The 27,483-nt window shown below is 33.7% G+C and overlaps 1 protein-coding gene and 1 long non-coding RNA gene across 17 annotated transcripts in view; one reads left to right on the forward strand and one right to left on the reverse strand.

Moving 5' to 3' along the window:
* Nucleotides 1-27,483, forward strand: part of PIK3C2G (phosphatidylinositol-4-phosphate 3-kinase catalytic subunit type 2 gamma) — a 483,857-nt gene that overhangs the window by 34,286 nt on the left and 422,088 nt on the right. For 14 of the 16 annotated variants that reach the window (XR_931307.3, XM_047429007.1, XM_017019471.2 and 11 more), the window contains 4 exons: nt 4,758-5,513; nt 9,601-9,683; nt 13,609-13,766; nt 16,655-16,769. Coding sequence is in view for 15 of the 16 variants with exons in the window: in XM_047429007.1 (XP_047284963.1) it covers nt 4,836-5,513; nt 9,601-9,683; nt 13,609-13,766; nt 16,655-16,769 (1,034 nt within the window). In the remaining variant the exon portion in view is untranslated. The remainder of the gene's footprint in view (nt 1-4,757; nt 5,514-9,600; nt 9,684-13,608; nt 13,767-16,654; nt 16,770-27,483) is intronic. The other 2 variants (XM_047429010.1, NM_001288774.2) reach the window with 1 other exon arrangement.
* Nucleotides 7,461-26,834, reverse strand: LOC124902890 (uncharacterized). The gene is made up of 3 exons (XR_007063233.1): nt 26,786-26,834; nt 19,736-19,845; nt 7,461-8,155 (listed from the first exon to the last, which is right to left on the reverse strand). It is a non-coding gene; the product is annotated as an uncharacterized LOC124902890 (long non-coding RNA).

Consider the following 27,483-nt stretch of genomic DNA (forward strand, 5'->3'; position numbering starts at 1 on the left):
AATATGATTTTCTGTGTGTGTGTCTATGTAATACATACACTTGGCTCAGCAAGTGAGGAGATACTTGGGAATTGGTTGAGCAGATGAAGAGAGACTTGGGAATTTCAGAATATCCTTCCACTCAGAGCCCTCTCAGTAACCAGGTCAGCCGCCATAGTTACAGACTTCCTTTCCACCTCACTAAAAATACAGATGGTTTAGCTCATTAGACATTGACACATCCTGTCTTGGCACAATCTCTATCTCCCATGACATTTATATAAATTAAAACACTGGTAAATTGTATATTCCTAAAATTTGTTATCTGAAATAAAGATCATTTTTATTTAGTCCCATAATTTATTTCTTCCACACTCCTCTCATCTTCCTCCTGTAGATATTCTTAGTAATGTGGCCAGGACTTTTTGGATCAAGAACAAACATTCTCAGAAAGGTTCCTTTTTTGTTGTTCTTTTGTAAAATAAACATTTTTGTTCCTATTCTGAACACTGGAGTTGTTTGAATGATATTTACACCTTTATAGATTTAAAAAATAGAAGCAGCTGGCAGGGGCTGTCCTTTTTCTGATAGGTGTCGAAATTTTGTCTATACTTTCTCTTTGAAGCCAGATAAGTAATTAATCCTCAACAGAAACTGACCTCTTGCAAGTTTAACTGAATACCAGGTTATAAGCAACTGTGGTACACTAAGGAGTTGTCATTAATAATACCAGCTTTCAAATATCACTGTTTGAATTGAGCTGAACTTTCCAACCAATAATAGAGAGCTTTTTTGTGTGTGTGGTCTTCTATACTTATTCTAGTCTCTGATTTTCCAGTTAATTTAGGAAATACCTTTCAGTTCATATATTGTATTTATTTTCTATTGCTGCTGTAACAAATTATCACAAACTTTGTTGCTTAAAGCAATACATTTATTACGTTTCAGTTCTGTAAGTCAGAAGTCCAACATGGGTCCCACTGTACTAAGATCAAGATTTCATCAGGGCTGTATTCCTTTCTGGAGGCTCCAAGGTAGAGATCCCTTGACCATTACAGCCTCTAGAGACGTCTTATGTTCCTAGCCATGTGGCCCCTTTCTTCATCTTAAAAGCCAGCAAAGTGGATTTAATCCACATATCACAGCAGTCTGATCTCTTCTGCCTCCTTCTCCCATTTGAAGGATCCTTGTGATTACCCTGGGTCCAATGAGATAATCTTTCTATTTTAAGGTCAGCTAATTAGGAAACTTAATTTCATCTGCAGCCTTAAATCCTCTTTGCCAGGTAACTTACTGTGGTCACAGGTTCCAGGGATCAAAACATGGGAATATTTGAGGGGACACAGTTTTGTCTACAAAATACATTTTCTATAGTTCTGCAGTCTTAGTTAAATCAGGGACTCTTAGACATGCCTTCTCAAATATGTCACAATTGCTCTTAAACTACATGTGTAGTTCTGTTTCAAAGTCGAAGTGTATGACTTTTAATTATTTTATACATTACTTCATAATGCAAAATGCAAACATTTATTGGCTGGAACTAAATAATATTTTTATTTGTTTATAAACTAAGAAATACTGTAGCTTCTAGAATATGATGGTAAAAAGACTGAAAATTCCTAGAAATTTCTTAAAACAACCAAATTTAATATTAAGAAATGGATCTGGAAGAGGTTGTGTTTTTATTACATTTTCAATATGAAAAGATATTTCTCATTCTCCTTTATCTCATGATAATGAAATTTTTTCAGACAGGCTTCTAACCCATTTCAAGCTTGCTGTGAGAAGTACTTGAAAAAAATATTGTTATTAATAAAAATTAAAAAGTTTTTAACCCTTTTTAGTGGAGATAGTTCATTTGAGCGAATACTCTGTTCAGGGCCAAAATCCAGGCATGCTCTACATGTTATACTAGTATGTCATGTTCACCCATATGCCTCCTTTAATCCCTGCTTATAATAAATCTGTGAACATAAACTCAAACGTTAGATAAGTTAATACATTTTTTTGTTGCTCAGGTCTTTATTTGCTCAGTGGTAGTAATAATATTATATATCTGACAGGTTGAAGTGAGAAATAAACATGTTAAAACATGTGAATATCTACATATCTAAAGCATTAGCACAGAGTAGGTGCTCAAAAAATGTTAGGTATCGTTAACAATAACAAGATCGTCCAGCCTAAAGAAATCTTTAATTGCATTATCAGACCATTGATACCTTATTTAAAGACCTTCCTGTGGCTCCATAAAATTAAAAAAACTCAAGGTTTTGAAAGCATCAAAAATTGTAAAAATCACTTTAATGTAGCTACATTTGCCATAATAAACTACAAGGAGCAAGTCAAGCTAAGAAAGAGTGGAACAGAATATTAAGTTTTGTTGTCAAAATTAAAGTCACACCTGCTGACAAATTCTGAGTTCCATGATAGACAGTTGAAGGAGTACAATTTGCTCCAATGAAACATAGCTTATTCTACAAACATAAAGAGAAAAATTGCCATTCCTGAAAAGGGCATTTCAGGTAGATAATGATATAGCTATGTGACTCATGAATTCTTATAATAGCTTTAAATAATATTTTGAGATTCATTTTCTGGTTAACACTTTATACACCATTTACATACATCTCTTGAAAATCTTTCCCAAATTTATCAGTTAGTTCAGTTACTTTACTGAATATATAAAGTATAATAAATCTAATTCATTTATTCCTTAGGTGATTATGATTTTCAAAAAAATTTAAATGCCAACATAATAAAAATCAAATTGCATTGCAACAAAAGATTGATAGAGAAATGTTTGATAGTCATTACCAGAATTATCCTTTAAAAATTGTTTTTGTCTTTACCACATGCACACATAATTGTTAAGAGAATTAATAAATCCATCAAAGTGAAGCAAATACTTCACGATTTCATTTTTCTCCTAACTAAAGTGTGGTTTTAAAAAGTTTATTAAATAATACGGTCAACAAATGAGCATCTACTATGAGTGAAGCAATGGACTAGGCACTGAGTTTTAAGTAAGAAAAACCAATAACAAATATGGTCTGATGATCTAACGGAAAAGGGAAATAGTACATATGTAATTACAGGTGTAATTATTAGTCCCAATAAGAAGTGTAAACAGTAGAAAATATACAGTAGTTTTACCTTTCCCGGGCATTCAGAAGGTTTCTTTGAAGAAATAATATTTCAATTAAATCCTGAATGATGAAAAAGAATTAGCAAGGCAAGAAGTAGGATGAGTGTCCAGGATAACACCCTGGGAAAATGTCAGTTATCAAAAATCAAGTCCTTTTGAGGAGCCAGAAGGCCAAGATGATGAAAAGGGAGAGAATGAAACTGAGTAGCATAAGGTGAACCTAGAGAGTGTGTAGTGTCACGGGTCGTTAAGGAACTTCCAAGTCAACTGAGGAATTATAAATGTTATCCTGAGATAATGGGGAACCACTGAAAAACTATAACCAGTGGAGATATTTGGTTAGTGTCTTAAATAAAACATACATAATTGGATTACTGTATAAGGCACAAAAATGAATTGCAGAAAATGGAAAAGGAGTCCCAGAGTCAATACAATATTTCAAGTGAAAATATGAAAGCTTTAAATGACAATTATGGTAGTGATAGACAGAGAGGGGAAGATAGATTTAAGATATATTTATGTAGTACATCCTACAAGGACTGGTGGATTATTGGATATAGAAGAAGAAAGATGAGGAAGGGTTCAAAGGTGAAACTCTGGTTTCTGGTTTGAGCAGCTGCGTGAATAATTGGGTCATTTTTTTGCCCCATAGAACACTGGAATAAGAGCAGATTCTTGGGTGAATTATGATTGGTTTTGGACTTTCACTTGGAGACTTAAAAAATATCCAAATGGAGCTATTGATTAAGTAATAAGAAGAGTGGCCAAGGTTAAAGTCATTGACAAATGGATGGGATGGTAATTTAAACCACAGGAGGTATGAAATAATTTACAATAAAAGAATAACAGGGAAGAAAAAAAGCCCTGACAAGGATAAGATGGAAAATGCATAATAGGCAAAAAAAAAAAAAAAAAAAGCCAGTGTTTGAGAAAGAGCAAACACAGAAAGACAGAAATTCCAGTGTCACGGAAAGCCAAAGTGAGAAAGCAAGAAATTTTAAGTATGGTGAACGGTATCAAATCCTGTGAAGAGATAAATTCAAAAAGGATGGAAAACTGTCTTTTGAATTTACTAACATAAAGTCAGTTGATGAATTTAATGTTAGTAGTTTTAGGGAAGTATAAAAGGCTCTGCAATTATTTCGAGTTTTTTGGGGGAAAAAAAGTTTAGCTAACCATATTAAGGTGATTAGTTGTGGTGGGTAGAAAAGAGTTAAAACTGTGTCTATGGATGGGGTAATTGCTGGTCAAGAAGAGACTGTTTAGCTAATATGAAAGAGACTTTAGCATGCCAACATGCTTATAGATTTCCCTCTGTAGTCAAATGATAAGTGGATATTCAATAGAAAAAGAGAATATTGACTTTGAATAGACTCATGAAACTTTCATTAAAATTGACGTGAACTTATTTTTCTATCACAGGAGTTTTGTCAGTCTATCCAAAGTCAATACTTTCCTTTCAGACTTATAATGTTGTAAGCCCTGATAGAGTTTTATAGTACTTAAGGAATTATTTCACTTGCTAAAAAAAAGCCCACAAAACAGTTAGTTATAGTTATTTATCCTATATCTGTCTTACAAGCTCTTTTCTTTCAAATTCAATATATTTTCTTTCATTTTATGCTTTTTCTAGGAAAATTTCTATCTTCTTTTGTATTATCAAGGAGATATTTGGAGCAGAGTCAACCCTCTCAGTTACATAAAATAAAAAATGGCATATTCTTGGCAAACGGATCCAAATCCTAATGAATCACACGAAAAGCAGTATGAACACCAAGAATTTCTCTTTGTAAATCAACCCCATTCTTCTAGCCAAGTCAGTCTGGGTTTTGATCAGATAGTAGATGAGATCAGTGGCAAAATTCCACACTACGAGAGTGAAATTGATGAAAACACCTTTTTTGTGCCCACTGCACCAAAATGGGACTCAACAGGGCATTCATTAAATGAAGCACACCAAATATCCTTGAATGAATTCACTTCTAAAAGCCGTGAACTCTCCTGGCATCAAGTTAGCAAAGCACCAGCAATTGGTTTTAGTCCTTCTGTGTTACCAAAACCTCAAAATACGAATAAAGAATGCTCCTGGGGAAGCCCCATAGGAAAACATCATGGTGCTGATGATTCCAGATTCAGTATTTTAGCTCCATCATTCACAAGTTTGGATAAAATTAATCTAGAGAAAGAATTAGAAAATGAAAATCATAACTACCATATAGGATTTGAAAGTAGCATTCCTCCAACAAATTCATCCTTCTCAAGTGACTTCATGCCGAAAGAAGAGAATAAAAGGAGTGGACATGTGAACATTGTGGAACCATCTTTGATGCTTTTGAAAGGCTCTCTTCAACCCGGAATGTGGGAAAGTACATGGCAGAAGAATATAGAGGTAAGTATAATACATGTCAATGTAAAAATATGAATCTGAAAGAATCATTCAATAATGTATTGGGTTAATTTGGTAATGAAGATAACTAAACTTAAATAGGGAAATCTATTCATCTTACTTTTGAAAAAAATTTTCACAAATGATGTGTTCTTGTATTAATGATTTTTTTTCTGAGAAAAAGGGAAATTAAAAAAAAAATCATCTATAAAGTTCCAGTTCCAGTTTCATCAAAACTATTATAAAATTTTACTTGGTTTTAGTTATGGTACCTTCATTTCATTGATAAAAATAGCAGAGTTGAAGGTTTAACTGATAATATTTTCTGTTTTTTGTTTAATGCACATACACAAACACAAATACGTTTCATTACATTATATTTTGAGTCACATTGTAATGATTTGAAACTTTATATCATTATTGGTAGGAAAAAATGCCCCTTTACCCAGAGTCTCCTAATTTATACGATTGGCAGGCAACTTCTATTGAGATCATTCCAAGGGTAGGAAATTAAGTATTCATTGTGTGACTCATCTTAATGCTTTTATTACTAGCTTTCCAATCATTTTAGTAACCAGAGTTTTTTCTGTATTTGAAGATTTCTCTACTTATTTCTCTGCTTGAGTCTAGACAAAGTAAAATCAGCAGTAAATAATATTTATTTCCGACTTAAAAAAGAAGAAACATTATTGCAGCTGCAGTTTCCTGGGTGAGGCAGAAGGGTTCTTTATTTATTCAACAACTATTTATCAAATCCTTAAAACATATTGTGATATGCTATCCAGAATGAATGCAAAGAAGAAAAGATATGATACTTGAATTCAGGAATAGCATATTGCTCATGTTTACTTGCAAACAAATAATGGCAACATAGTAAAATAACAGGTGGAGTAAGTGCATAGGAAAAGAAACATCTAATTCTACTTCATTTGAATTCACTTGCAAAAGAGGTAGCACCTCAAAGGATCTAAATTAAAATTCAGTAAATCTTAGGGCTGTCTAGTTCTGATCACAATAGTGTAATAACTACTAAACTTTCCCTACTCATCAAAACAACTATACAATTAGACGAAATAAGTGAATCAGGTGATTGAAGGTGTTGAATAGGCAGTATGGAACATAAATCCTTGAGAAAAGCAAGCCCTGTGATCATCTCAGTCTGTGCCTGAGGGTAATTTCATGCTGCTATGCAGGCTGCTGGAGCCCAATTTGAGCAGCAGTATCACTGACTGCGAAGACAGTGCCTGCAGTTCCAAGTTGCAGAAGCAGCTGTGATTTGACAAGCAGAGTGCTAAAGAAGAGGTAGCTATGAAATGGGTATGGGTCAGAAGTAGAGAGAGGACTTACGGCTTGGCCAAGTATTGGGATGTGCTTGCAAGCCTTAGTAGATAATGTCAGCGTTTGGCTGAGAATTGGATAGGATTGTGTTAATTACACAGACTTGAAGTTACAACGCAGAAATTTGGGCCAAATTAGAGAAGAGACTGAGCTGAGCGCTTCAGGCATTCAAATGAAGCTACAAAGCCATGTCTTAAGAGTAAAACTCATGCTCTAAAATCAATGCTACATCAACCAAAATAGATGTGGCCTAACAACAACAAAAATTCAGAATCATAAGGCAAATAAGACAAGGATTTTAACTGCCTGCCAATGAAAAAAAAACTTAACGATTCATAGTGTGCCATCTACAAAATTCAACATAAAATAAAAATGCATAGATATGTAAAGAAGCAGGGAATTTTGGCTCTCGCTCAAGAAAATAACTCTACCAGTCAAAAGAGCCTCTGAGATAATCCAGATGTTGGAATTAACAGATGGGAACTTTAAATTGGTTATTAAAAGTATGTTCAAGTAGATAAAGTTAAAGAAGTTCATAATGGCTAGCCTAGTGATGATCTCAGCAGGAAATTAGAAACATCAAGAAACAAAGGAACAAAAACAAAGGCCAAGTCCAGCGCTGGAAACAAAACATAGGCAATAAAAAAGTAACTGGATGTGCTTAACAACAGATAGGAAAGAACAGGGGAAAAAATAATAATTTGAAAGCAAAACTGTAGAAATTAGCCAAACTGAAGTACAGAAAACACAGGGATCACATAAACATGAGCAGGGATTCAGAGACTTATGAGACAAGAAACATAATATGTGGACAACTGGAATGCTAACAGGAGGAAAGAAAAATAGGGAGCAAAATTAATTTGAAGAAATAATGGTCAGGAAATTATTCAAATTTGATAGAAAATATCAAATTACAGATCTAACAAGCTCGCCACAACCCAAATAGAATAAATGCAAAGACAGCCACATATAGACATTTTATACTCAAACATCTGAAAATTAAAAGAGAAAATTAGGGAAGGGGGCAAAAATGTAAGAAAAGATTTCACACAGTGGAACAACAATCTGAATGAAAGAAAACTTGTCACTCAAAACAATGGAAGCCAGAGACAATAGAATGACATTTTTAAATTCTTTAAAAGAAAATAAAACATACTTCTATATCCACTGAGTATAAGTTTCAAAACCAAAAACAAAATAAAGACATTACCGTAAACAGATGCTGAAAGAAATTAGTCAGCTAGCAGGCACATGAGAAATGCCAAATTAAATACTTCTGGTACAAGGAAAATGACACCAGATGGAATCTAGGAAAGAGTGAAGAGTGATAGAAATAGTAAATATGTTGAATAATACAAATGACTACTTTAAATTTTTTGAAAGACAATGTACCAAGCAATATAATAGCATGTTATTGTAGGATTTATTGTGTATGTGGATAAAAACTATTTGACAATAATAACATAATGGGTGGAAGGGGTTAAATGTTATTTTGCTATTGTAAATTCTTACATATTAAATGCAATGGTACAATAGTAGTTCTAAGTAAACTGAGATATATTAAGGGTGTATATTGCAATTCCTAGAGCTAGTACCATGAATTATAAAAAAAAGAAAAATAGAAGAAAATCTAAAAATGCAGCAAAGGCATAAAATAAAATAAACATGTCAGGAGAAACAGAAGAACAGAATAAAATAGAAAAGACAAATAGAAACAAATATAAATAAGACAGTCTTAAATCTAACAATTTCCATAAATATACTAAATGTAAATAGAATAAACATTCCAAACAAAAGGCAGGAATTGACAAATGAGATAAAAAAGGAAGGACTCAATTGTTGTCTACAAGGGACACAAGAAACAAAGGCAGAGATAGATTGAAAGTAAAATAAACAAAAAGACAACATTCAATCAGAAAAAAATGCTTGTATGATTATTAATATCAGAAAAAGTATATTTCAGGGCTGAGTACTATTAGAGAAAAAAGGGATCATTTCGTAATGCTAAAATGGTCAATCAGGAAGAGATAATAAATTTAAATGTGTATGTACCTAATAACAGTTTTAAAACGCATAAGGCAAAAATGGTTTCTTTAATCCTACATGCACTCACTGACCAAGCTATTCATTCATATATTCCCAAGCTATTCATGCATATATTCCCAATAAATGAAGCATGCATTCACATAATTACTTGTATATGAGCATTAATAGTTTTCTTTACAATACCAAAAAGCTAAAAACAACTCAGAGGTTCATTAATAGGAAGATGACTAAACGAACTGTGGAACAGTTACACAATGGAATACTACTAATCAGCAATAACAATGATAAACCTTTGATATGTGTGATAGCAGAAATAATTTTAAAACATGTGTATCATTACATAGAAGCCACAAACAAAAGAATGCATATACATTATTTATGGTGATATAAATCTAAATAACAGTAGTTACCAAATAGATATGCAGATGGATATAAAAAAGACATGGGGACATTTTCTAAAATGAAAGAAATGTTCTATATTGTCATTGGGGTACTGATAGTAGAGTTTTATGCCTTCCACAGAACTCAAATTATATACTTAAGATCTGTGCATTTTTCTATGTGTAAATATTACTTCAATTTTTAAAAAATCTAAAAAAAATTAAAAATGAAGTCTGAATGAAACTTCAAAACAGGATAAAATTGTAGAATTATTTAATAGTTTCTCTTCTCCAAATTATATTAATTTAGTAGATTTTATTTTAAGTCAATAGGTTGTTCCATTCAGCTAGTGGAAGTACCTCAAAGCAGCAATACGAGTCTGGCCTCTTTTTGCAACAAAGTAAAAAAGTGAGTACTGGTATTTCATTAAACTTTGAAATTTTTGTGCCTGAATAAATTTGTGTATTTTGACATCACTGAACTGATTAATTTTGCATATAAAAGTCAAAGTCATGTAATTTCTGAACACACTAAAAAATAAAATTTTTTGACAAATTAGTTCAATAATCAACTTCTGTTAATGTTTTTGTTGTTTATAGTCAAATAGATGTTTTTCTCTTAAAAATTTGGTTAAAGTTAAATGTTTTATAAATTTGGACATGCACTTGTTTGTTGGTGGTTTGGTTTGCAGTGAATTTTTTTTTTTGTTTAATGACGTAAGTGACTAACTCCTCTGGCTAACCCCCAAATTAACACAAACTTATCCTCCCTACCTGGGACAGTCTATTTAGAATCATCATAGTTCAATCTTATCTTGAGTGGATTGGCAGAATATTGAATAAATACGTGTGTGTTAATGCATTGAGAAATGAATTTGATCACTGGCAGATATTCCAAAAAAATCACTGATATTTTGTTAATCTAAAAATGAATTTATGATATAAACATAAATGCCTTCTTTAAGGCAAATTTCATATTAGCAATTAAAATTTATATAGTTCTACCTCTTCTGTTGCTAGGGTTTCTGAAAGTTTTGAAAAACTAATGCATTCAGTTGGGCGCGGTAGCTCACGCCTGTAATCCCAGCACTTTGGGAGGCCAAGACAGGTGGATCACTGGAGGCCAGGAGTTTGAGACCAGCCTGGCCAAAGTGGTGAGACCCTGTCTCTACTAAAAATATAAAAGAAAAAAAAATTGCTGGGTGTGGTGGCGTGCACCTGTAACACCAGATACTTGGGAGGCTGAGGCAGGACAACTGCTTGAACCCGGGATGCAGAGCTTGCAGTGAGCTGTCACATCATTGCACTCCAGCCTGGGCGACAGAATGAGACTCTGTCTCAAAAAAGAAAAAAAAAATAGGCTGGGCACGGTGGCTCACGCCTGTAATCCCAGCACTTTGGGAGGCCGAGGTGGGTGGATCACTTGAGGCCAGGAGTTCGAGACCAGCCTGGCCAACGTGGTGAAACCTCGTCTCTACTAAACATACAAAAATTAGCCAGGTATGTTGGCAGGCGCCTGTAATCCCAGCTACTCGGGAGGCTGAGGCAGGAGAATCACTTGGACCTGGGAGGTGGAGATTGCAGTGAGCTGAGGTCGCGCCACTGCACTCTAGCCTGGGTGACAAGAGGGAAACTCCGTCTCAAAAAAAAGAGAAGAAGATAAACTAATGCATTCATATTTTAATTCTTTAGTTTTAACTCAGTTTTGGCTATTGTTTGAAATATAATAACTATACATTTTTATAAGCTTTCAGTTTCTACCAAATGATTATTTGAAATAAAATGTTTGAATCATTTATTTAATCATTCATTTAAAGTCTGTTTCATTGTCTAATAACTAGCTTATGCATGAGAGATACTCAAATTTAAAATAAACAAGTAAACAAAAAAGCAAGGTCCCTGCCTCATAAAACCTATAACCATAAGAAGGATTGAAAGGCTTACACACAAAGATACAAAACAAATCACCTCAAGTTCACGAAAATGTTCAATCTTTAATTAATTTCTTGCTCCAGTTTATGGGAAAAAAATTCTAAATAGTACTTAGGATTCCTAAATTAGGGTCTTTAATGTCATCAACATTTATTCTTTCAGGAATAAGCTACTCACTGTGACAATATGATAAGCATAGCTAGAAACTTGCTACTTTAAGTCTAAAATATGGTTAATTTTTATTTTACCTTCTAAGCATGGCAAAGAACTCTCTTCATACTTTAAGATATCACTCTTCTGAATAACTCTACTCACAGACCACATTATTAGCTCCTCCAGCAATTCTCTTTTTTAAAACACAATTTCTTATTCTTGGATGAAATATTTTTGTGGATGCACTAGTGACATCGAAATACTTGATGTGATGATTTTCCAGTGACTTATAGTGCATTTTCCAAGCTCTTTAATATAATTTTTCTAAATAGTTTATTTCATAATAGTCATGAAAACTAAAACATACACCAAACAATAACTTTAGAGTAGTGAAAAGAAGCCATAAGTTATATTCACACACTCTTTCCTTGTTTTCAATAATTTGTTTGTTGGCAAATATTTATAAAATGATTAAATGTATACATGCATAATTATTTTGTACACAACAGGATATTTACTCAAAAATAAGTATGTTTGAGGACCTAGTATGTGGCAAGCACCCTTAATTCAAAAGAAGATCAAATGGAATTTGAGAGCTGTTTCAAAAGAGGTTCTCCAAAACTTTGATTTCTCATTGTAACATACTTTAAAGCCACATCTTTCAAAAAAAATGCCATATTCTTGTAACAAATATGGTAACATGCCATAACATATGAAAGAAGTTTCTGGCCCATGGTAGATGCTCAGCAAAAGTTTAGGAGAGAATGAATCATGAATTTGTATTTTAAATTTAATTTCTTAAAATGGTAGAAGCTGAAATCATGGACGCATTGAGGAGTGTCTTATTATATGATAAATGCTAACTCATAAGGCTCCTCAATCCCTAACTGGACTCTAGACCTTTATGGTAGAGTATAACAATGAAGAGTGGCCCATGTCCTTATTCTGAGCAGTGGCTCTCAAACTGCAGTTCCAGAGCAGCAACAGCAGCAGCTTACTTGGAAAATTGTTAGTAGGACAAGTTTGGGGAACCCTCCACAGATCTACTGAATCAGAAACTAAGGGGATGGGATCCAGAACACGAGTGGATACAGATGCATGCCAGGCCATTGGGTGAATGTGTATTTACTTACCCATTTGCCAGGCCCCTGATGGAGGAGATGTTTCCATGGAATAAAGCTTTAGTGCTACAAAAATAGCTATTAGGTTTGTGCAAAATTAACTGCAGTTTCTGCAATTTAGGTAGAGAACCATGAGGTTTAGATGTCAGCATAGTTAACATAAAAAAAACAAGATTTCATATTCACCCTCAGAAACATTTTAAATATCCACTTGAAAATATCTTCATGTTATGTTCTACATGTGGGCATAAAACACTGATCACAGGGAATCAAGCTATGGTAACATATAATGACAATTATACTTTACATGTGTATATTGCTTTATAATCTGTAAATCTTTTACATGTCTTTTCTATTGTAATAGAAAACCTTTGAGGTAGATATTAATATCCACCTCAGTAAACCTTTGAGGTAGCTATTAATATCTTTACTTGTTCAAAAAAATTGGTCAAATAACTTGCCTCTGGCCATAACATTACTAAATGAAAGTGCCAGGATTCAAAGTCAAGGCTTCTGGCTCCAAGGATAAACTGTTTTTGCAATTCTTTGACTCATTTATGTGTAAGCAATTGTTCAGAATATAAGAATTACTTTTAGGCTCCAATATTTGTGTAAAATTCAAGTAGTTGTGTAGTATCCAAAAATTTTAAAGAAAATGGAGAGACAAAAATAGTGTTTACAAACTTGACAAGAACAAGAGAATTTATTTGCCAAAATTTCTAAATCAAAATGAATGACTCGCAGCTTGACAAAATTAGGCATGAAAGAAATCCAAGAGGAAGAACTCTGACATCAAAAGCAATGTAAATGAAGCAAGTAATAATATTCAGCGTGAATCCTCACGTTTCATGTTATGACAATGAATTCTTAATTATTTCAAATGAGATGCTCCTGGGAAAGCCTAAAGAACAGTCCTTTACACTTGTTTTTGGTATAATTGCAATCTCTACCAATCTGGACTAGCTAAATGCACTGCATCACAAATCAATTACTGATTGCTTTCATCTTTTAAGTCTTTTATAGCAAAACACTACATGAAGTTTCTTAAAATTACATTGTGGGCAATATGTTTTAAACTGTGTCTTGCAGGTCTTGTCCTAAGTATTTTTCTTAACATATGTTTTTCAGAATCAGAGAAAGATATCATGCAGCTGATGTTAATTTCAATTCTGGGAAGATCTGGAGCACTACTACAGCATTTCCGTATCAGCTCTTTTCTAAGACCAAGTTTAATATACATATTTTTATTGATAACTCAACACAACCTCTTCATTTTATGCCATGTGGTAAGCAACCTTGCAAATAAGTCTACAAATCTATACAAAGCTGGTATTGGCGACGTAGCCTTGAATTCAAAGTCTGAAGTTATTAAAAAATAATATTAGCTACTGTTTTTCTCTGAAGTGAAATAAGAAGAAAACATCAGGGATCCATTTGTTAATACTTAAGGGAGGAAAGCAAAACTATTTTCTTCAAGAAGTATCTTCACATAGCTCACCCGATAATATTTTATCTTCCTGCTATAAAATGCTTAATAGCAAGTATAGCAAGTTTTTAATATATTAAAAAATGAATTTCAAAAGATTCTAGATAAGGATGGTATTAAAGTAAAAATGGCTGCTTCTATCTATTAGGAACAAGTATTTCCTTGAAATATAAATAAATTGTGAGGTAGAATAGGCATTGTTACACAGAATCTCTATTTCCTTAATGAGGAATCTAGTAGCATGGTATAACATACCTCCATCAGAATTAGCAAACCTACTGATTCAGTCTCTGGGGATGACACCCAGGAATTTATATTTTATCAAATTCGCCTGAGGATTTTTACTTTTCTAAAGTTTTAGAATATCTGTAAAGTTATTTAGTATCTTACTTCATTGTTATAGTCCACTATTTTGCAAAACAGTATTAGCTCTTTAAACATTTAGATTGCTATTAAGTGAGTTTCTACATATCAACAGGAAACTATTTCCTGGCACATAATGATCCATTAAATATTTTCTTTTATTTATTAATTATTGTTATTATTGTGCTTCTTTCTTACTCTATTCAAGGTTCTCAGCTAATGCAGATGACTCCAATCATAGCAGTGTTATATTGGTATATTAGTTAAGACCCTCTTGGTTGGAAATGAAAAGAAACCAATTCCTGCTAGCTTAAGCAAAAAAAAAAAAAAAATTGTTTTAAAGAATATAGGGGCTGGGCACAGTGGTTCATGCCTGTAATCCCAGCACTTTGGAAGGGCGAGGCAGGCAGATCACCTGAGGTGGGGAGTTCGAGATCAGCCTGACCAACATGGAGAAACCCCATCTCTACTAAAAATACAAAAAATTAGCCAGGTGTGATGGCGCATGCCTGTAATCCCAGCTACTCAGGAGGCTGAGGCAGGAGAATTGCTTGAACCAGGGAGGTGGAGGTTGCAGTGAGCCGAGATCGCACCATTGCACTCCAGCCTGGGCAACAAGAGCAAAACTCCATCTCAAAAAAAAAAAAAAAAAATATATATATATATATATATATATATATGGATTTATTATAGAATTCAAGTATATGAATTTCAGCAAACAATTAGGAATATATGAAAAACACAAATAATCAAGCAGCCCAGAATTCCTGTATGCATCTCATTTCATTTCATATAATTGCTTCTCATATTCCTCTCACTCTCTGATCACTCATTTCCTTTGCTTATCTAAAACAAGTGGGAAGCCAAGCTACTAGTCTAGCTATCTACAGACAGTTCACTATCTCTATGGGATCCAGCTCCCAGTTCCTAAAAGCCAGATTCTGATTATTCGGCCAAGATCAATGATGCTGCACCTTGATCCAATCAGAAAGACCATAGGTTGGGTCATGTTGTCTTCAGTTGCTGGCCACTATTAAATAGCATGTTCATGTAAGAGCTTAAAAGGGAGGATTATGATATGTGAATATGAGAAGACAAATGACTTTACCCTATAGCATGTCTACATTTTGAGTTCCAAAGGAAAAGGTGGAGAGAGAGAGTAGATATTCATTAAAGTTTCTATAATATAGCTGTTCAAGCTAGAACCTTGAGTAATTACTACATGGGAAAGGAAGAAGAACCAACGGTGGATTTGGAGTCTGACAGATCTTGTTTAGAGTCTAGAGAACAACCAACTGTGGAGACTTACAGTCATTAAGGGCACAGGCCTTGGAGTAAACAGATATTGTTTAAGTGTGACACTTAACACTAACTGTGTAATCTCTACAAAATTGCATAGCTTCCCTGAAAATGAGTCCATTCATCTTTGAAACTTGGGATATAATACCTATATAATAGGTACAATAATCAAGAAATGACATGTAAAGCACTTAATAGAGTAATTGCTCCGTAAAATATAGCTATTATTAATATTAATACTAACATTATATCCCAGAGTGAATATAACCTGTATAACACTTTTAAATTTACTGGCCACGTTTGTCTATTTTTTTATGATAGCTTCGCACCAGATTCTTGAAGAAAATAAACTGTGCTATTATAAATCCTATTTAACAGATGAAGAAACTAGGTCAAAAAGGCGAAATAACTTGTTTACATAAATCAACTAAAAAATGAAAAATCTATATTATTTCCATGTCTCAGTGACAGAACATTGATAAGAACATCTTAATGATCACAGAATTGTCTTAATGTCATGGCATGAATATGAATATTAACTAGTGTAAATGCCCTGAAAATATTTATTGCAGTTAATTCAGAATCTTTTATCTTGCTGATACCCTTAGAAGGAGCAATATGTCTCACTTTGGTTGAAAATGGAAAGAATCAAACACCCCCTGGAACTTTTGCCTGGCTATACCCAAGTTCCTGAGTGTATTTCCCAAGTCCCTAAGAGAAACTGCAGTAGATTTTTATGCAGAACTGCAGTGTACCAAGGGCTTTAACATGAGAAACACAATACCTAGCTTTGTTATATCACATGAAAGCAGAACTGATCAAAGGAATTGCAAACAACATTTTCCCCAAATATCTTTAAATCTAACCAGTCTGATAAGTCAGATGAATCTCAATTTAATTCCCCTTGATGAAGCTAGACAGTTACAATCCTTCATAATGTGTTGGTCATATTTTGTGCTCAAAAACTTTTCCTAGTCAGTATATGATACACTTTTATTGACTTTTATTATTCCTCTTTTTCTTTAGCTAATTATCTTGTCAAAGATCTAATTGCAGAAATTCTGCATTTTTGCACAAATGACCAGCTACTCCCCAAAGATCATATTCTAAGTGTATGTGGCTCTGAAGAATTTTTACAAAAGTAAGTATTTTATGAAATTTTGGTTGTATTATAATCTGTAAATATTAAGTTACCACTTGTTTATGGTTTTGTTTTAAACAGACTTTACACAAACATTATAGTCTTATATAATTAAATCAATTTTACCCCCTTTGCAGTGAATTTGAAATTTTCTAAATCATATTAACAATCTTATTCTTGATTTTATATTATGACTACTTATGAAAACAAATATTTAAATGACCTGTGACTAGGGTGACCAACCATCTCAGTTTGCTTGGAGGTAGCCCTCAGGATGTAGGAATTTCAGTTTTAAAACCAGTAAAGTCCCAAACTAGGACAAGTTGCTCATCCTACCTGTAATAAAGCTTATTAGAACTGATCACAGCTAAGTAAATAAATTCTTTGGTGATAAGTAATTTTTTGGTTAGAATAATACTTGCATGTTGATTAAATACTGATTTTTTTTTAAATCACAGGGGCCTTAAGTATAAGCATTATAACTTACTTTTTATGGAAGAGTAAGTTCTAAACCACCATTTCTTTATTGAGGCAGCTCATTAAAAACAATTGGAAAAGCCTGTCCTCAGTATATCAACTTCAAATACTTATTTGATAAAAAAAAATCATCTTTTAGTTTACCAAAGTAACCATTTGCCTGAAATTCCTACAGACCAGTCTTGAACAAATAATACAGCTTTAAGAAAATAAATATTTCTCTGCTGGTATTGCATAGTTATTCTAAACAGTAAAGTATTAAAGACTAAAACGTTTAATACAGTAGATCCCTATTTATATATCCCCTTTGCATCTCTACAAGTATCTAAAGATTGAAAACATCTCATGGAAGTAAAAATGTATTTCCTTTGAAATTCTCATTGTCACTGTCATTATTATTCCATCATGAATGTGCTTGAAATTATCTTTTGGGAAGTTTGATAAATTTGATGACATTCTTATTAGTAAATCCAGTTCTTTACTGTGCAGTGTTAACAGTGAATGGCCTTAAGACTATTTTCCTTTTTGTGGGAAAAATAATATTTCATTATTATTTATTATTTTAATAACAAAATATATTGTATTAAAATAATATTTCAATAGCATTTTTATAATTATTATTTTATAATAAATAATTATACATAAACAAAATAATAAATATTTATATGAAATTACATATGTTTTGTTGCACTAAGCTCACAGATATTCCCTTTTCCCTTTTTATTTGAACTTATTAACACACTCATTTACTAGTCTGCTACCTTCTCCCAACATACAATTTTGACAGTAAATCCAATGAGCACAGGAAAGCATTTTAGTAAATTTAACCTTATATTGAATACTCATTTAAACTCATCTTTTGAATGTGTAGTTTTCCAAATGTACATCTAGACTTTTCTTGATGCCAAAACATTATATCCAAAGAGCAAAACATTGTCAAATATTTGCATTAAGTTTTAGCAGTAGAAAATGCCATCCAGAAAGCAATTGTATTAAAGAGACAGAAATTCGGAAAAGTATAATGTGGAGAAAATTTACACACCTTGATTTAATCATTGTTTTAAATAGGTAAATTATTCATAAGTAGATGGCTCAATATTTAACTAATAAATGTACATGTTAATGTTTTCATAGTCATTTAATCATATTAAAATTTATTTAATTGGGTTTTATTAAGATAGGAAAGTTGCCAAATATTAATATATGTAAAATATAGTCATTTATTCCCTAATGGACATTGAAACATTTGTGTATGTCAAGGATTTGCATATTATTTAAGAGTAATAGCCTATTTGTATTGACAGAACTTATTTTAATGTGCAGAATATTTACTACTGTTCTAGCATCTAAAGGAATATATATTAGTCATTCAAATATTACTTTTAGTGTATTCCTGTGTAACTTGTCTAAAAAATATGTCCTTAAAGACATGGAAATCTGTTCATAAAGCTCTTCTTTATACAGAGAACACAGGTAGCATGTAATAAGTTAACAGTGCAATAAGTAAAAATTTAGACTCTAAAACTTATAGAAGTACACTTCATTTGGAGTATTCAGCTGGGGAAAATGCTAATTTTCTGATAATACTTCAAAATAATGGTCAAATAGATCATGAAACATATGACTACAAACATAGCACTGTTATATTGCTATATTAGTTAAGACCCTATATTTCTCAGGGTTAGTGAAGTATTACATAAAATCCTGAAAAAGGGGAAATGTAAATAAATATGACTATGAACCCATATAATGCATATAGAAATTTCAAAATTATTCTGATATTAACACCGTGTTCTCAAACTTTAAAGTGTCACCTGAGGATGTTGTTAGAAAAAGAATTCTGATTTCAGTTCGTCTGGGTGAGGCCTGAGGCTGTCCATTTCTAACAAGCATCTGGTGATGCCTATGCTGCCGGTCTACAGCCCACATTTCAAGTAGTGAGATATTAGAAGCCAAGAATGGTAATGACTTAAGAACTTAGACTCTCCAAAAATTATCCTCTTTTCCAGAACAGTACGTGGTATAAAAACTAGCTCTAATCAACAAAGTAATAAAGACATTTTTACCTTGTACTATTGCAAAATTAAAAAGATGATTTTCCTAGCAAATCAAAATTTCCCTTTTCATATATCAACTATACTATTTTTGCAAGTTATTTAACATTCATTTTAATTTAGTATCAGAAAAGCTTTTCTCTCAATTAAAATATCCCGACTCACTCATTCTTATTCTCACTTTCATTTTCTCTCTCTCTCACTTTCTTACTCTCACTCTCCCTGTCTGATTTTAAATAATACAATATATAATGAACACAGAGCAAATTAAAGAATCAGAACATGAACTATCAATTTTGTCATACGTTCATGGAAGCTTGATGCAAAATTGTCAGCAATATGATAAATAATAGAAGAAAAGAAATCATCTGCTTCATTCAAAAAATATTAAAATCTTTCATCATGTTCCTGTTCTTTAACTCCCGGTTTAATTACCATGGAGCAAGGAGTCCTTGATAATCCCATTTTCCATGCTCTTGTCCAATAGCTTGATCCCAGTCAGCCTTTCCAGTGAGCTCAAGGACAGGAATTATATCTTTTCTTTCCTATTGAATGTAGCACAGATATGAGATCCTAGAAAATGAAACTATTTCCTAGACCGTCCCTGCATCTCTCTTTTTGACAGGGAGTAACAATTGTACCTTCACCTATACTTGTAACCGTCTCACATGAGTATTTTTCTTCATAAATATATTGATAATATATGAAGTATAATGCTTCTTCATAATTTTTTCTCTTATTACTCTCTAGCCAAATATTTACTAGGAGCGCAGGTTTTTCTGTTTCTCAATCCTAACCAAAAAACCACTCCAGTGATTTGTTTTCTCTACAGCTGTGGTTTCTTTGTGTGATATATTTTCTTATTGATACATTGTAAATATTCATGAGGTACATGTGATATTTGGATATCTACATAGAATGTATAATGATCAAGTCAGGATATTTAGAATATCCACCACCTAGAACATTTGTCATTTCTTTGTAGTAGGGACATTTCAAATCTTCTCTTCTAGTTTTTTTGAATATACAATAAATTGTTGTTAACTGTAGTCAAACTACTGTGCTCCCAAACACTGGAACTGATTCATTCTATCTAACTATATGTTTATATGTATTAACCCACCTCTCTTCATCCTCTCCCCATCCCATACCCTTCCCAGGCTCTTATAACTATCATGCTACACTCTAACTCCGTGAGATAACCATTTTTAGTTCCCACATATGAGTAAGAATATAGAATATTTTGGCTTGTTTTACTTAATGTAATGGCCTCTAGTTCCATCCATGTTGCTGCAAATGACAGCATTTCATTCTTTTTTAAATAATTGAACAGTATTCCATTGTGTATGTATACCACATTTTCTTTCTTTCTTCATTCATTGATGAATACTTAGGTTGATTCCGTATCTTGGCTAATGTGAATAGTATTTCAATAAACATGGAGGTGCAGGTATCCCTTTGTTATACTAATTTCCTTTCTTTTGGATAAACACCCATAAGTAGGATTCCTGAATTGCATGGTAGTTCTATTTTTAGTCTTTTGCAAAATCTCCATACTGTTTTCCATAATGGTTGTAGTAATTTACATTCTCTCCAACAGTGTATAAGAGCTCCCTTTTCTCTGCATCCTTGCCAGCATTTGTTATTTATTTACTTATTTTTATAACAGCCATTCTAACAAGGGTAAAACAATATCTCATTGTTGTTTTGATTTGCATTGCTCTGATGACTAGTGATTTGAACATTTTTTATATACTTCTTGGCCATTTCTATGTCTTCTTTTGAGAAAGGTCTATTCAGATTGCTTGCCCACTTTTTGATGGGATTATTTGTTTGTTCATTTTTAGTTTGTGTGTTTTTTCTTTTTTTTTTTTTGCTGTTGAGTTTCTTTTATATTCTGCATAATAGTCCTTGTTAGATTAACAGTTTGCAAATACTTTCTCCCATTCAACAGATTGTCTCTGTTGATTGTTTTGTTTGCTATGCAGGAGCTTTTTAGTTTAATATAGTCCTATTTGTGTATTTTTGTTTTTGTTGCCTGTGCTTTTGAGGTATTAGCCATAAAAAACTTGCCTACACCAATGTTCTGGAACATTTATCTTATGCTTTCTTCTAGAAGTTCTATAATTTCCGGATTTAGGTTTAAGTCTTTAATGTACTTTGAGTTGATTTTTATACACAGTGAGAGATAGGAGTCTAGTTTCATTCTTCTGCATATGAATACTTGGATTTATCAGCACCATTTATTGGAGAGGGTGTCTTTCCCCTAAGGTTTGTCCTCAACATCTTTGTCAAAAATCACTAGGCTATAAATAAATGAATTTATTTTAGGGTTTTTTTTATTCTGTTCCATTAGCCTATGTGTTTGTTTTCATATCAATATCATTTTGCTTTGGTTACGATAACTTTGTAATGTATTTTGAAGGCAAGTAGTGTGATGCCTGCAGCTCTGTTCTTTTTGCTCAAGATTGCATTCACTATTTGGGCTCTTTTTTACTTCCATACAAATTTTTGGATTCTTTTTCTATTTCTGTGAAGAATATTATTGGTAATTTGATAAGAATTGCTTTGAATCTGTAGATTGGGTAGTATGGTCAAAACAATGTTAATTCTTCTGATACACGAGCATGGGATGTCTTTCCATTTATTTGTGTGCTGTTCAATTTCTTTCACCAGAGATTTGTAGTTTTCCTTGCAGAGGTCTTTTACCCCTTTGGTTAAGTTTACTCCTAGGGTTTTTCAGTGTGTGTGGCAGCTGTTGTAAATGGGATTTCCTTCTTAATTTTTTTCCAGTTAGTTTGTTATGGGTTCATAAAAATGTTATTAATTTTTGTGTGTTGATTTGATATCTTGCAACTTTATTTAATTTGTTTATCAGTTTACAGAGTTTTTTGGTGGAATCTTCAGGTTTTTCTGAATATGAGATCCTGTCATCTGCAAAGAGGGACAACTTGACTTTCTCTTTTCCAATCTGGCTGCTTTTTATTTATATATTTTGCCCAATTGTTGTGTGTAGGACTTCCATTATTATGCTGAATAAGAGTGCTAAAGGTAGGCAACCTTGTCTTGTTCTAGTTCTTAAAGAAAAGACTTTCAGCTTTTCTTCATTCCGTTTGATGTTAATGGTGGGTTTGTCATATTATTATGTTGAGGTATGTTATATTTATACCTAGTTTGTTGAGCGTTTTTATTATCAAGAATGTTTAGTTTCATCAGATACTTTTTCTGTACCTATTGAGATGAGCATTTGGTTTTTATTCTTCATTCTGTGGTCATGATGTATCATGCATATTGATTTGCATATGTTGGACCATCTTTGCATCCCTAGGCTCTTACTTGATCATGGTGTATTACCTTTTTAATGTATAATTGGATTCAGTTTGCCAATATTTTCTTCAGGATGTTTGTGTTGATGTTCATTATCAGGACATTAATCTGTAGTGTTATTTTTTGTGGTGGCTTTGTCTGGTTTTAGTATCAGGGTAATGCTGGTTTTGTAGAATGAATTAGGAAAATAATCCTCCCTCTTCAAATTTTGTGACTAGTTTGAAAATAATTTGTGTTAGTTCTTCTTTATAAGTTTGGTAGAATTCAGCAATAAAGCCATCTCATCCTGAGTTTTTCCTTGCTGAGAGACTTTTTATTACTGATTCAGTCTTATTTATTACTCATTATTGGTCTGTTCAGGTTTTCTGTTACAGCCTGAATCAATCTTGATAAGTTGTATGTGTTTATTGGATACATATAAATATGTATGTACTATTTCACATATAAAGAGAATAGTTATATGCTCTTGCTGAATTGATCCCACTGTTATTGGAGACAAACCTTAGTTGTCTCTTTTGTATTGTTTTTCACTTAAGTCTATTTTATCTGATATAAGTATAGCTACTTCTGCTTACTTTTGGTTTCTGTTTATGCAGAATATCTTTACATCCCTTCACTTTCAGTCTATATGTGTCTTTATAAGTGACATTTCTTGTAGACAGCATATAATTGGGTCATTTTTTAAAATCCATTCAACCAATCTGTATCTTTTAAGTGGGTAATTTAATTTCTTTATATTCAAGGTTATAATTGATAGGTGAGGACTTATTCCTGTCATTTTCTTAATTGTTTTCTAGTTATGTATATCTTTTGTTCCTTTCTTTCTCTCTCATTATTTAGCACTGCCACTTGGTGGTTTTCTGCAGGCGTAATATTTTAGTTCTTTTTCTTTCTCATTTTTGTGACTGCTCTAACAGTAAGTTTTATACTTTCATGTGCTTTCATGATGATAGATATTGTTTTTTCACTTCCAGATGTAGGCTTTCCTTAAGCATTTCTTGTAAGTCTGGTTTAGTGGTGATGAATTCTCTCAGTTTTTGCTTTCCAAGGAACAACTTTATATCTCCTTCATTTGGCAAGTATAACTTAGCTGTGTAGAGTATTCTTGGTTGAGAGTGGTTTCTTTTTTTCTTTCTTTGAGCATTTTGAATATATCATCTCATTCTTACATGGCCTGTAAAGTTTCTGCTGATAAATTTGCTGTTAGGCTGATGGCGATTTCCTTCCATGTGACTCAATGCTTTTCCCTTGCTCTTTTTACAATACTCTTTGTCTTTGGCTTTTGACAGTTTGGCTACAATGTGCAATGGAAAAGACCTTTTTGGGTTGAATCTATTTGGGGATTTTTGAACTTCCTATATATAGATTTCTAAATCCCTAGCAAAACTTGGGAAGTTTTCAGCTATTGTTTTATTATATAGGTCTGCTATGCCTTTGCCCATCTCCACTCTTTATAGAACACCCAAAATGTGAATATTTGGTTGCTTTATGGTGTCCCATATGTCACATAGGCTTTCTTTATTTTGAAAATATTGTTTTACTTTTTTTTTGTCTGACTGGGTTATTTCAAAAGACCTATTATGAAGTTCTGAAATTCTCTCTGCTTGAGCTAGTCTATTGTTAAAGCTCTTTGTTATATTTCTTATTTCATTCACTGAATTCTTTTGTTCCAGAATTTTTGTTTGTTCCTTTTTTATTATTTTTGTCTCTTTTTTTACTCTCTTATTTAGATCCTGAATTGTTTTTATGATTTTTTGTGCTGTTTGCTTGTGTTCTCTTGTATCTCACTGAGTTTTTTTCATATCATTATTTTAAAAAGTTATCTCATATATTTTCTTTTCTTTGGAATGAAATTCGTGGCTGGAGAGTTTTGTGTTCTCTTGAAGATTCATATTTCTTTGCTTTTTATATTTCTTATGTCTTTACACAAAATATATATGCTATTAGTGTAATAGTCACTTCTTCCAATTTTTTTGGATAGGCTTTCATAGAGGAAGACTTTTTCCTACAGATACATCTATAGTGTGGGTGGGTATACAACTTCAGCATTCTTTCTAGGCAAATACAGCAGTGATTTCTTGTGATTCCTTTAGCTGTAATCAGCATCAATGATTTCTGTAATTTCCTCAGTGGCTTAAGCTACAGTTGTTAGTTCAGGCAGTGGTGAGGCTTTGCTAGGGACAAGGATACTGGGTGAATTAAACCTCAGCTTCCAGTGTGGTAGTGGTGGACCAACCATGGCTGTCTTTGGGCTCCTGGGTAGCCTATGTGGGCACTGGATTTAGCAGGCTCAGGTGAACTGATGCTTGGGCTCCCAGGTGACTTCCTTGGGTGCCAGCAGTGGCAGCAGAGGGCCGAGTGGATAGGCAGGTTTTGGGGCCCCTGGCAGTGCGCCTACAATCAATGATGAAAGTAGCAGAGAAGAAGCAACACTCAGGCTCCCAGGAGGCTCACACTGGTGCTAGCAGTGGCAGTGACAAGGTGGGCAAGCCAATCCCTAAGTCCCCCAGTGGCTTGTGTGAATGGGTTCCAGCAGTGGTGGTGGTGCCATGCAATTCAGGCTTGTCCTCAGGCTCTATGATGGTGTTCACAGGAGTAGAATGTTATGGGTGGGCAGGGCGATCCTCAGGACTCTGGATAAGGTGCTTGGGCACTGATGACAGGCATTTTGGGCCTGTTTTGCAGCTCCCTGATGGTGTTCATGTGCACCAGTAGAAGCAGGCAGAGCAGCTCAATCCCCAGGTCCCCACCTCGCATGCTTGGGTCCTGGTGGGTCTTTTGTCAGGCCATCTGATGTTTTGCTGGTGTGTTTCAGGCATAGACAGGGTGGCATGATTCCCAAGGACCTGGGCAGTGTAGTTGGGCACTAGAGGTGTAGCACTAGATAGGGCAGAACTGTCCTCAGGGTCCCCAGTGGTACTTAGGAGTACAAGCTGTGATGGGCAGGATGCAGTGATTCCCAGCCCCACGGATATGTTTGGGTGCTATGTGGCAGGCAGGCTAAGTCTTTTGTCAGGCTTCCTCTTGGTGCACATGCATGGCTGGGTGGCAGACGAGGCAGGGTGATTCCCAGGGTCCCAGACGTTAGGCTTGAGCACGGGGTGGAGGGGCAGTGCAAACCAGAGCAGGCCTGTCCTCAGACCCCCCAGTGGTACACACAGATGCAGTAGGCTGTGGTAGATGGGCCTAACCTATGTGATTTAAGTAATTTCTTTTTCTTTTCTTTCTCTTTCTTTCTTTCCTTCTTTCTTTCTTTCTTTCTTTCTTTTCTTTTCTTTCTTCTTTCTCTTTCTTTCTTTCTCTTTCTCTCTCTTCTTTCTTTCTTTTCCTTTCTTTCTCTTTTCTTTCCTTCTTTCTCTCTTTCTCTCTCCTTCCTTCCTTCTTCCTTCCTTCCCTCCCTCCCTCTCTCCTTTCTTTCTTTCTTTCTCTTTCCTTTCTTTCCTTTCTCTCTTTCTCTCTCTCTCTTTCTTTCTTTCTTTCTGACACAGTCTCACTCTGTCACCCAGGCTGAAGTGCAGTGGCATGATCTTGGCTCACCGCAACCCCAGCCTCCCAAGTTATAATCAATTCTCCTGCCTCAGCCTCCAGAGTAGCTGGGATTACAGGCACGCACCACCACGCCTATCTAATTTCGAATTTTTAGTGGAGACAGGTCTTCACCATGTTGGTCAGGTTCACTCCTCATCTCCAGTGATCAGCCCACCTTGGCCTCTCAAAGTGCTGGGATTACAGGCATGAGCTGCCACACCCAGCCTAAGTAATTTCTTATCTCAAAAATCTTACTCTAAGTCTTTCTGTCTAATTTAACTTAAAAATAATTCTTATTAGCTTCTATGTAAAACAATAAAATTTACTGTACTTAAAAGCTTTTGCTGAATAATCATTGCATTGTCAGTAGTAAACCATAAATGCCTCCTGAGTAAATACTAGTCTTTTTTAAAAATTCTGTTTCGGCCAATTGCTTACAGGATGGTCAAATTTTATATGTTTGATTTAAATGAAACAATTTTTTTATTATTTAATTGACGGTTGTCAAGGAATGTTAGAATTGAGTGCTGAAAACATATTCTTAAAAAAAAAAGAAATTCTACAGTAATTAAAAATTTTACTTGGAAGTAGTTATATATTTTAAAATCAAATTAAGAAGGTGGTATTTACCTCTTTTTTCATCACCCACATTGATTAGAATGATCTTCTTATCTACTTGAGAGTCTTGTTTTTCTCTCTGGGACTCTCCTAGTAGAGACGATGCATTCCTTTTATTAGAGTACAAAAATAGTTTTACAAAATTAAATCCTTTTAATTAAAATTCTAAAATAATCCTTTTCAAAAAACTTCTATATTTTAAAAAAGTTCTAACTAATCTCATGACAATTTATATTAATTTGTTCATTTTTTTTGAGATGGAGTCTTCACTCTGTCACCCAGGCTGGAGTGCAGTGGCACAATCTCGTCTCACTGCAACCTCTGCCTCCTGGATTCAAGCAATTCTCCTGCCTCAGCCTCCTGATTAGCTGGGACAACATGTGCATGCCACCATGCCCAGCTAATTTTTGTATTTTTAGTAGAGATGAGGTTTCACCATGTTGGCCAGGCTGGTCTCAAATGCCTGACCTCTAGTGATCAACCCGCCCCGGCCTCCCAAAATGCTGGGATTACAGGCGTGAGCTACCTCGCCCGGCCCAATTTATATTAATTTGTTCATTAAACATTTGATTGTAAATTGAAATAGTCTTGTACTCAGAGTAAAAATAAAACTATTAATTACCAGTGAGAAAAAGGCTAAGTCATAATATATACAGTTTTAAGTAATAGATTACATTCATTAGCAGTAAAACTGCATTGTATATATTGCT

Source organism: Homo sapiens, chromosome 12, assembly GCF_000001405.40.
Source record: "Homo sapiens chromosome 12, GRCh38.p14 Primary Assembly".
NCBI lineage: Eukaryota > Metazoa > Chordata > Mammalia > Primates > Hominidae > Homo > Homo sapiens.